Source organism: Homo sapiens, chromosome 6, assembly GCF_000001405.40.
Source record: "Homo sapiens chromosome 6, GRCh38.p14 Primary Assembly".
NCBI lineage: Eukaryota > Metazoa > Chordata > Mammalia > Primates > Hominidae > Homo > Homo sapiens.
The window spans coordinates 6,280,153-6,292,465 of NC_000006.12; the positions used below are offsets into that span (position 1 = coordinate 6,280,153).

Below are 12,313 nucleotides of genomic sequence, written 5' to 3' on the forward strand. Positions count from 1 at the left end.
AAACATTTATTTAAACAGATGTTTACTAGTGCTTATGATGAGCAGAGTGATACCACTTAATCTGGAGGAGACAGGGTGGTGAATGTGCTGAGATATGATACATTTCCTGTGCTCAATGGGTTTATAATTAAATACGCAAGTTTAGACTGTAATTTAATTCATAATACTAATGCCACATGAGAATAACAGAGCAAGAGTAGTAGACCGTGGGGGAAGTCAACGACTTTATTAACTACATGACAACAAATATGGAACTCAAAGGACTGGCAGAAAGAATGACACACATTTGCATTTTGTTTATTCATATGTATATTTATGTGTGGATGTTTATTTGCTTACTATAGATGTTCATTGTTCCTTCATAAGTTGATTACCGCTTATATTTAAAAGCATCACTTTTAAAAAACTGTATTCAAGCCTAGTTTTTTGCAAGTGACATAGATAAACAATACAGGAGACCACGGATGTAGCTGAAACACAGGGATGTAAAGAAACCGTATTGAGGTTGGACCATCCTTGCCTAATGATGCCTTGTGGGGGAACACAATTGTTCTTGACATCTTTTTAAGGCCTTAGAATATATTCCAATCTTCTCTCATTTCCTCTGGTCATGTGTTCCCCACTGATTTGCCTTTAATAAAGGTCACTGCTGAGTACCTCTTTATTTGTGGGCTTGAAGGGGTACAATATTGCCTTCCGTAAATAACACCTAATTCCAGTGCTTTGGAAAGTGGCACAGTGGAATTTCTTCTAAAACATCTGCCACTACTTAAATTCCAGAGTGCTTTAAGCATGTACCCTGGAGTTTCATACTGTTTGCGGAGTGGCTGGAGAATCCTCACTTTGGGACTCAGCTGGGCCAGCCTTCCCTGGCAGCACCTAGTCATTGAACATCGCATGGCTCCCCATGAAAACGGTCATTTGGCAACTCGTTCTAAGGGAACTGGTCTCAGCTAACAGTTAATGGCAAGAGTCTAATAAATTCATTTTGCTAAAATGTTAATGTCTAAGAAGAGTGCTAATACTTCTTCTTACCTCCATATTTACACTTTGTAGAAAATAATTCCTTCATATCTTAAATGAATAAATTGCCATAATAGAATTTCACTCATTGCATAAAATTGGGAGAGGGCATGCTCTTTACTTCACATTCTGAAGACCTTGTCTTCTTCCTCAGGGGATTTTACAGTCTCAATGTAATTTCTTCTAAGACCTTTCCAGATCCCAGGCCCAGTGTCAGACCAGGTATACCAGGACCAGCCATCGGATCCTGATTATTCTGGACCATTTAGAGCCAGAATAATCAGGATCTGAATTCCACTGATTCCTCCCTAAGGGACGACACTAGGTAGGAGGAGCTCAGTTAAGATGTCATTACACCTTTTATATATCATTATACCTTATATCAAAATAATAAATGTTTGTTGTTTTAAGCCACTAAGATTATGATATTTTGTTACAACAGCAACATAAAACTAATGCAAACACAGAGCACACTGTTGGCACATTGTGAAGACTCAGTAAATGACAAGCTCAAAGATAAAAAATGTATGGAGGACGGCCGGGCTTGGTGGCTCACGCCTGTAATCCTAGCACCTTGGGAGGCCAAGGCAGGCAGATCACGAGGTCAGGAGATCGAGACCATCCTGGCGAACTTGGTGAAACCCCGCCTCTACTAAAAATACAATAAATTAGCCAGGCCTGGTGGCGGGCGCCTGTAGTCCCCAGCTACCCAGGAGGCTGAGGCAGGAAAATGGTATGAACCCGGGAGGCAGAGCTTTCAGTGAGCCGAGATCATGCCACTGCACTCCAGCCTGGGCGACAGAGTGAGACTCCGTCTCAAAAAAAAAAAAAAAAAAAAAAATGTATGGAGGACAAGAGTCATGAATCAGGGGTCACCATAGGTATGACAGAGAGGTGAAAAGAATGGTAAGTGAGATATACCTAGGTTGAATTGGGAAATACTGAAAGGAGGTAAAATACTAATGAGCACACCTAGGATCTAGACCTTGGTTTCTAAATACTACTTTCTATTAAAATGAAGTGGAGTTCTTTGGAGAAATGTTTCTCCTTAGATAAATGGTTATTTTGAGGGTAGGTGCAGGGAAAACTCAAAACGGGCCTGAAACATCTTACTGTAACAGACTATGAGGAAGTAAGGATACTGAAACTAGTTGGAACAGTCCAACTGGCAAAATCGAGGCTGTTTGAACATTAAGTTATTTAATGATAATAAAAGATTTAAGTAACCTATTTAATTAAAAGAGAAAATCAGGATTCATCCAGGTATTAATCAATCATTCTATCAATAATAATTTTGGTAATAAATGGGATTTTATAGTCTCAAGATAATTTCCTATAAAGTACTTATTAACTATAAAAGGAACAAAGAATAACTTTGCAGGGGTAACCCCAACAGTCACCTCTGTGTTGGGCTCTGTGATGTTCTGCCCAAGACACCTTCGGAAATGACCGACAGGCTTATCCTCAGCTGCTGGGAGTGATGACAGAAAATAGTCCTTGGTGGTTCAGGCCTCCTTGGGAGTTGCCTTAGCAGAAGAAAACTGCCTCATCCAGGGTCACACCTCATTCCAGGGGTGGCTCACATCCAGTGACTGATCACTATGGAGGAACAAAGCCCCATCCCTTTGTCCTCATCTCAGGAGCACTATGAAGAGCTATCTCAGCTCCAGAGTTTCACAGAGGGTCATCTGAGGCCTTTGGTGTGAGTGCATTGCAGCCTGACTCCCCCACTACCTAATACTGCTTCCTTCCACAGGAGTTGATCCCAACAGCACTCCCTAATCAACAGCTTGCATGCTAATTTCACAGTCTACTTCCTGGGCACTCAACCTGTGCCACCACCTTAATCGAGTGGTTAAGTTAACATCATCAGTAATGGGATCTGTAAAAGTTATGTGCAACCAGGTAGGAGGCACCAAGAAGAACACAGCATCATTTCTGCAATCTTCCTGTGAAAGATACGTGACTTGATTTTAACATCAAGTGAGGAAACATCAGTCAAACCCAAATGGAGGGGCATTCTAAAAATTACTGCCTTGTAATGTTCAAAAGTGTCAAATCATGAAAGTCAAAGCAAGATTATGAATCTGTTCCAAATTAAAGAAAACTAAAGACATGAGACATGACATCTAAATATAACATGTGATCCTGGACTAGCTTCTGTTGCTATAAGGTACATTACTGAACAAGTAGAAAAACTCAAATGTGTTCTAAAGATTAGACTACCATCAAATATCAGTGTTAATTTCCTTATTTTGATGGTTGCACAGAAGAATGTCTTTGCTCATAGGTAGTACACACTAAAGTATTCAGGGATGACGAGACATCAGATTGACAACTCTAATAACGGTTCTGGGAAAAAACAGTTCTTTGTATGGTTTGTCTTGTAAATTTTCTGTAAAGTGGAGTTTGTTTCGAAATTTAAAAAAAACTTTTAAACAACAACAATACATGTACCCAATTTTTGTACAATTATCCTGTATATTCATGTCCTTCCTTTTTTTTTTCCATCAGCGATGTAGGTTTTTAAGTTTCTTAAGAGAAACATTTTTGAACGAACTTTGTGTGGAGCACCAATCTTGATTCTTCAAAGTTACATGCTAAGGGATACCCTCCTGGTTGCCCTACCCTTGGCAACATCCTATCTCTAACAAAAGACACAAGGTGGCCTTTCCCCTCAAGAAGCATCAGCTGTAAGAGAAGATAGAACTAACTGCTGAGGAGCAGAACAGCAGTGAGGTGTTCCACCCATTGCATAACAATGCAAATAAATCCAGAGGCTGGAGAAATCAACTCGCAAGGGGTTACTTAGTGAATCACTGAAGCAAGGATGATTGAGTACCACAAGGCCAGGTTTACCAACCCATATAAATCTAAGGGAAAAGAGGCAGAGAGCAAAAAGAGATTTGTTTCTAACTTCCAAATATGATTACCTTATGCATGCGCCTTCAGTAATTAGGACTGTGATTTTTTTTCCTGAAATTTTGTCTTGATGGCTATAAACACAAGCACTGTCTTTATGAATCATCTTTATTTTTAAAATTTGGCTAACACTCCACTCAAATGTCTTTGACATGTTTAAAGCAATTTGTTTCACAAATATGAAAGTTAGAAAAGGTTGAAATGATGGAAATGATGGAAGTGAAGTAATGGAGAGAGTGTGTCATTTTCTATCACTTAGAAATATGTTGCACAAATAGAAAAGCTGTTTGATGGAAAATGCCACTGCAGCTGTCTCCACTACTTCATTTCCGTCATTTTAGTCACAGAAACATAAGGGTTTCTTCCTCTTTTTGTAAAATTAATTGCTTTAATACAAAAGGCCCCTGTCCACCCTGGGCACTAACCAAGCAATAACAGCAGACTGATTGCATGAGGGGAGCACATTCCTCATGGGCCTGCCTGATGGGCCTTTCCTGCCGCTGCAAGCTTCTTACAACTCCAGAGCCTTGAAACTGAGTGGTGTCCAAACTCCAAATGCAGCCAGACACTTGATTCAGGGAAATATTTCCTTCTCACTAGAAGCTTGTTTGCATCAGCAGAACAATAAGCTCCTGGACTACCAAGAATGCCGTCCTCCTTGCATGGAGGGTACATACTTCGTAGCCCTCTTGGAATGCTCCCAGTTCCTCAAGAGTCATCTCAAGACCTCCCTGCCCTTTTCTGAGATTTTACCCTTCAACTCTAGCTGATCCTCTTGCTCTTGACTGCCCAGAGTCACTTCGGCCAGTCGTGTCACACATTTCTGGAAGGCAACTGTATCAGTATAGCTCAATTATATACTCTCTGACTGTGTTCATTGTTTGTGGAATTCCTCTCACTCCAACTACAGTAAGCTCTTTAAAGACAGAGATGGTCAAAAGTTTGAAACCAGCCTGGCCAACATGGTGAAATCCCGTTTCTACTAAAAATACAAAAAATAAATTAGCTAGGCCTGGTGGCGGGCACCTGTAATCCCAGCTACTCAGGAGGCTGAGGCAAGAGAATCACTTGAACCTGGGAGGCAGAGGTTGCAGTGAGCTGAGATCACGCCACTGCACTCCGGCATGGGCACCAGAGCGAGACTCCAACTCAAAAAGAAAAAAGACAGAGATGGGGTCTTTCATTCCTCTTAAACCCCCTCTGGGGTGTCACAAACTGCTGGACACAGCAGAGGTTTCTGCATCACAAATTCACTGAACCAGACATGGGACAAGATGTTATAGAGATTTGTAAACAGAATTGGAAAGGAAATAGACAAGGAAGTTGAAGAAGCCAAAGCAAAACCTCCAACAGTGCAGAGAAGGAGCATCCCAATGGCTAAGCTAGGCTTTAGCCAGAGATGGGCAGCACATTTAGCACATCCAGCCCCAGCTTCCTGAAGGCTAAAGAAATGCTCATGAACAGACACAAAAACGGTCAGACCCACCTCCCAAGGGTAACTCCCATTACTTCTCTAACAAATGAGTAAATACCTATGCTACAGTAGGTACCTAGTCAGGCATGAGTAGGGGAGGAGAGGGCTTCCCCCACTACGCACACACCAGGAATGGCAGGCGACCATCAGGTGACGGTCATTGTTAAACTGTCCTTCTAAAATAATAATTGGTCCCAGCCAGTGCTAGGGAAGGGCAGTCTCCCAATAAACAGAAATACCTGAAACTGGTGATCAGCAGCTTCCCAATAAAACCTCAGCAGTTGGGTGAGTGGGCTCAGGCATGCGCACTAAGAGCCAAAATGGCGGAATTTAACCAGTATGTGGCCTTCCTCCAGGGACACTCAACTGGTAAGGAAAAAATGCATCAAGTGGTCACGAGTACAACACTAGTAAACGCACTGTGCATGCTCCGCTTCTAAGCGCTAGCAGGCCACTGCACACGCAGACACACCACTTAAGGGAAGAATCACAGGAGTAGGGACGCAAGACCCCAGAAGTATGCCAACAGGTAAAACCTGAAGTCAGTCAGGTGCGGTGGCTCATGCCTGTCATCTCAGCACTTTCAGATGGATTATTTGAGGTAAGGAGTTTGAGACCAGCCTGGTCAACATGGTGAAACCTCATCTCCATTAAAAATACAAAAATTAGCCGTGTGTTGTGGCAAGTGCCTGTAATCCCAGCTACTGGAGAGGCTGAGGCAGGAGAATCACTTGAACCTGGGAAGTGGAGGTTGCAGTAAGCTGAGATCGCGCCACTTCTCTCCAGCCTGGGTGACAGAGCAAGAGTCTGTCTCAAAAAAACGAACAAAAACCCTAAGTCAAAGTCAAACTGTACACTTGTCTTTCAAGTTACCCACTTGGCCCTTTTCCAAGTGTATTTTCTTTCCTTTCATTCCTGTTCTAAAGCTTTTGAATAAACTTTCACTCCTGCTCTAAAACTTGCCCCAGTCTCTCCTGCCTTATGAGGAGGCAAGAATTGAGGCTGCTGTAGATCCATGTGGATTCACTGCTGCTAACATACTTTGGTGCTGTGGGACTCCAGTACATTTGCTGCCACTAACACCTAGACGTGCATCCACAGGACAGTGTGTATGTATGCATGAGAGACAGACAGAGAGGAAGAGCAAGACAGAAACAGACAGGCCGGGATGAAAGTAATAGAAATCTTAAGAAAGAAGAGAAAAGATCAGAAAAGAGGCCAAGATACTGAGAAGAAAGAGGGTGAAGAGGGTAGCAAGAGAGAGGTACAGCTATTTATAGCCTGTCTTATGGTTGTGTAATACCTGTCTGGCTCTGGCTGCTGTTATAGTAGCATTTTATGAAGGTTATCCTTCCTTAAGGAATACCATAAGAATTTAGCTTTCCTACATAGTTGCAATATTGAAAATAAGGCTGGTAATTGGGTCATCTTATTAGGAAGGAACTATCACGAAGCAGTTCAAAGAGCTTCCAGTTATTCCCTCATTAATCCTTACAACATGCTTCTGGAGTAACTGGAGGGCAAAGATGAAGAATATTTAGTCCATTTGGATCCTTTCTTTAGTGGGCTGTAATTCCACTTGCATGCTCTCTTTTTAGATTAGAGACTCAAGAGCAAGTTATCGCAGTGGGCACATTTGTTTTCATTAAATATTTTCCCCCACCTTTTTCACCTCTTGCTTCATATGCTGCAAGAATGTCTTAGAATTTATGTGGAAAAGCCAGGGAATGCCCACAGTCCGTCCTCCCTGAGTTCAGACCAGCGCTTTCTGGTGGAGTACAGTTTCAATTATGTGGGTGCAAATGAGCCACGTTTATGAATTCTTGTAAGTGAAAGAGGTCATCATAAGATACAAGTGTGAAGACAGAGAGAAACAGACATAGGAGCAAGGGTGAAGGCAAATTAGGGGAATAGGAAAGAGGGGAGAAAGCACAGGAGGCAGTCAGGGAGGAAGCGTTTGTGGATGTTCTGAGTGTTCTCATTCCGATACCCATGGCCCTTCATAAGTGCTCTGTGTGGCACCCTTAATGTGACAAAGACATCAGCGACTCTATTACCCTAGGGACCATAAGCTTCACTGGGAAACTCCAGCTCTGCAGACATGATGTGGGTGACAGGGCAGGGCTGAGGAAGCACATGGTAAGGTCTCTGGCACCAAAATATGGATGGCAATCCCACCTACTTTGAGATTAAACTGTTTCTGTCACTTCAGCTAGAACTATGGGCAAATAATTCCAGGCAGAACTTGGCCTGTGGATTGTCAGAGCCCCTATGTGACTAATGAAGCTGTCAGAATGGATGTAACAAGGAGACTGGGTATTTCTGTTGGGAGGTTCAGTGATGGTTGTCTTTGCCACCAGGAGACAAAAGACATGAGAGCAATGCCCTCCTATTTGCTTTTGGAAGCATTTTCTTTGTGCGTGTGTAGATGTTTTTTAAAAAATAGACAATCACTTATGGGGAATCTATTGGGATACAATGTGAAGTTTTGATCTATGTATACATTGTAGAAAGATTCAATCAGCTAATTCACATGTTTATTACCTTACATAGTTACCTTTCTTTTCTATGTACATGGAAAAAAGAAAGGTAACTGTGGTGAAGACATTAAAAATCTATTCTTTTAGCAATTTTGAAATATACAATACATTATTTTAAACTGTGGTCACCAAGCCATGCAGTAGATCACTAAAACTTATTCTTTCAGTCTAACTGAGACTTTGTACCCATTGATCAACATCTTCTTTTTCCTCATTCCTTGCCCCCAAGCCCCAGCCTCTGGTAAACAACTTTCTACTGTGTTTCTGAGATTGACTTTTTCAGATTCCACATATAAGTGAGATCATACAGTATTCATCTTTCTGTGCCTGGCTTATTTCAGTTAGCATAGTGCTCTCCAGTTCTACCCTTGTTGAGAATGGCAGAATTTTCCTTCTTCTAAGGGCTGTATAGTACTCCATTGTGTCTATATACCACATTTTCTTTATCCATTGGTTAGGTTGCTTTCATATCTTGGTTATTGTGAGTGATGCTGAAATGAACATGAGACTACATACATCTTTTCAACATCCTGATTTCAATTTTCTTTAGATACATACCCAGAAGTGGGATTGCTGAATCACGTTAGTTCTATTGCTAGTTTTGTGAGGAACTGCCACACGACTTTCCAAAACAGCTGCCTTAATTTACATTCCCACTAATAGTGTATAGGGTTCTCTATTCCCTGCATTCTTGCCAAGGCTTGTTATCATTCTCTTTGGTAGTAACCATTCTAACAGGTATGAGGTGGCACCTCATTGTGGTTTTAATTTGCGTTTCCCTGATGATTAGAGGTGTTGAGCATTCTTCCATAAGCCAGTTGGCCATTTTGGTGTCTTCTTTTGAGAAATGTTTGCTCAGATCCTTTGCCCACAACCTGGGGTAAATCACTTAATCCCTGTGAACATTGGTTTCCATGTTTTTAATAAGTTTTATTTCTACCTTCCCTGCCTCCCAGTTTATTGTGAGAATAAAAAAGTGGTTTCCTATACATTATCTCCTTTAACCCATAAATGGCTGTTTAAAATAAATAGTATAGTCCTTATTTGCAGGTGAGGAAACAGTAATGTGATGGGGGGTGGGGTAAAGTGATTCTGTCACTGCTATCCATGGTGGAGCTCGGGTTCTGACTGGGCACTGCCTTGAGTCCAAGCCGCCTCTTTCCCCACCAAAAAGGGCTTCATTTAGCCCTTTAATCACGTGAGCTGTCATCCCTGAGATGGCCTACAAATGGCAGAGGGCCAGCCACTGGGGCATATTGTTAGTCCTCAGACCACAGTGTGTTACTTCACTACAGGTGAGTCCCATTTTACTATGCAAATACACACACACACACACACACGCACACACACATTTTACTACTTCTAGTTATAGAAGTAAACATAAGTTCCTTTGGGGGAAAAAAAGGAGGGGAAAAATCATACAAACTCATGCAGCATCCATTTATCCTATCATTTATTAGTGAGATTTTTTTCCCCCTTGAGTCTCTTACTAATGTCCCTAACAAAATCTCGGTCCTCCAATTTATCTTCCACACTTCTGCTATAGTAATCTAAAAAGTAGAAAAAAATCAGATCTTAATACTCTACCTAAAATGCTACTACAGAGGCTTCTGGCTGTTTATAGAATTACATCTAAACTTCTTATCAAGTCATACAAAGACATCAGTGTGCTTCCAAAATGTCATGCTCCACTGAACTTTTCTATTTTTTTTTTTCTAGAATGTATACAATTTCCATTCCCCTGGGTCAATTTCTATTCGTTTTTTGAGACCCGCCTCAAATAGCACTTTCTGGAGGATTCTTTCAACTATTCTTGCCATCAGTCACTCCCTCCAAAGTAGCTTCTAAGCATTTTGTTCAAAAGGTTGGCATTGAACACAGCCTTTCCTACTCAGACTGTCCCCTCTGGACAACAAATCCTCTGGAGGCAAGGGATGAACATATCTTACTACTCTAATCCCAATATGGTGCTTTGCACATACAAAGTATTAAATAAGAGTTCAATAAGCACATTCAAAAAGAAAATAAATAGGCTTTATGGTTGAAAGAAGCCAAATAAATATCTGAAAAATAAATATAAAAACATACTCTTAACAATTATTTTTGAAAAGTTACTAAATATGAATGCCAAATTAATAGTTATTTCAATGTTTGCACAAAATCTTAAGTGTCAAAAAGAAAAAATGGATATAAAGTTATCACAACACATAGACTACAAATCTGTTCAAGTTCTGTCAGCCACCTGCCTCAGTGTTGTATGGAATAGAGGTAATATGCCTCTATAGTTCAGCATTTCCTGGAATGAGTTCTGCACCTTATTCAATGGTATTATAAAAATAAAAATGTGGTAGGGTAGTGTTTATAGTAGAACAATTTTGGGAATTATTGGGCTAAACAAGATTCATTTTTTGACTACGTGTCTACTCATAGCCTTTTATATATTAATGTGCCTTGGGCCTCTATGAGAAGAGACACAAAACACAGCATGATCCAACTGTATTTGATGATGGAACTTTTTTCCCCCAAGGAGAATCTCACATGACAGGTGTTCATAGAGAACACACTCTGGGAAACACTGTCCTACTTTCTTAGATGCCATTATTAGTCACTTCACAGAGATGCTTAAAAATAAACACGTTGATCATCAATGCAGAAACCCATAGGAGCAAAAATCTGAAATGACATTCTATATAAATGTTGCTTCAAAATGATGAAATAGGCTGTCTATTTTCACCAAAATGCAGCACAAAATAGTTGAAAGAGTATAGGCTAAGAAATAGTTATCTACACGTTACAAGCTGCACAGTTTGGGGCAAGACATTTCTCAATAGAGAAAGTATGTTATGTATGTGAAAATCACACATCAGCATGATGATTTTACCTGGACTTTCTGAAACAAAATCCATAGGAAGACATAGTCTTAAAGGATATGGATGATGTTTTCAGATGTAAGGGTACTCATCTGCCCCTCTAAGACCCTATAGCACCTGCTCACCACCTACATCTTTAAATAACTTGAGATTGTCAGGCATGAGGCTTAGTTCATACTTCTCCACCTACGGCAGTCATACCCTCCTTCACCTCTTTCTCGACAACCTTGGAAGATGAGGAATTTTCCTTCCTACTCAGCCCCTCACCCGTGCCCCTGTCCTCTATGCTTCTCCTCCAGTCCCTCCTGAATCTTCAGAATTCTTCCTTGACTGATTCTTCCCTCTCTGCCTGCTACATGTTCCAGTCCCTCCAATCCTGAAACAAATACTGAAATTGAAACACCCCTCCTCTCACCCACATTCCTCTCTAGTTACCACCCAAATTTTCTTTTCCTCTCCTTCAAATTTCTTTAAAGATTCATCCAAATTGACTACACCCATTTCCTCACATCTCCTTGACTTTTAGACCATTAAAATTTGGAATCTACCCGAGTTCAACCAGTGTCCCCCAACTGTTGACTCCAGTGGGAAGTTCCTATCTCACTGCATCTCCTAGTTATATTTAATAACATTGGTCATGCTTTCCTCTTGAAACACACAACTCTCGTGGATTGAGTGACACTGCAACCCCCTTATTTTCCTTCTGTTTATCTGCTCATTTGGTCTTTGTCTCCTCCAGGGGCTCTAGTTTCTGGACTGATGCCTTAGAAGTTGTTTTCCCCAGGGCTTAAGCCTCAGTCCACTGCTGACTTGATTTACCTTTTTCTGAGTGAGCTTGCCCACGTGTGTATGATATCCAAATTATCTCCTGTCCAACCCAAACCTCCTCCCGAAGCTTCAGACTCATATTATCTATTGGACAGGTTTACCTGAAAGTCCCTCAAGTAATTCACACTCATCAATTCAAACAGAAGCATATTCATACCTCCACCATCTCCTTGGTGGAGGCTCCCTTGGTGGAGGTAGTAAGCATTGTAAGTAGAAGAGGCTGCTTGGGTCCAAATTGAGGTCCCAGCACTTTCCAGGTGTGACCTGGGTAAATTACTTAATCCTTTCAACCATTATCTCATGGGAAAAATGGAGATGGCCATAGTCCAATGCCCAGAGGGCTGCTTGAACAATTAAATGGGAGGCATACAGCACCTCTGCACAGCAACAGTGCCAATGAGTTATCAATGAAGCTACTACCTCCATTAGCATTTTCCACACTCGATTTTTTCCCTCTGGAATTCCAGGCATTCTTTATCTCATTTGGAAGTGCTAGCATCTGTCATCATAGTCACATAAGCCAGCCACCTGGAAGTCGACCTTGACCCTCCTCCCTTCCACCCCTCACAGACTCCCCAACACAAGTCCTGCAGATTTTGCCTCCTAAATATTTCTCAAACCCTGTCACTCCTGTCCATGTCTACAACTGCAGCCAT

General features: G+C 41.3%; 1 protein-coding gene and 1 long non-coding RNA gene across 2 annotated transcripts in view; one reads left to right on the forward strand and one right to left on the reverse strand.

Moving 5' to 3' along the window:
* F13A1 (coagulation factor XIII A chain) overlaps positions 1-12,313 on the reverse strand; it is a 176,579-nt gene that overhangs the window by 136,069 nt on the left and 28,197 nt on the right. The gene's annotated exons all lie outside the window — the stretch shown is intronic.
* The window catches only part of LOC124901253 (uncharacterized), a 44,281-nt gene continuing 37,702 nt past the window's right edge, over positions 5,735-12,313 (forward strand). The window contains exon 1 of the long non-coding RNA XR_007059428.1: positions 5,735-5,788. This is a non-coding gene — a long non-coding RNA (uncharacterized LOC124901253). The remainder of the gene's footprint in view (positions 5,789-12,313) is intronic.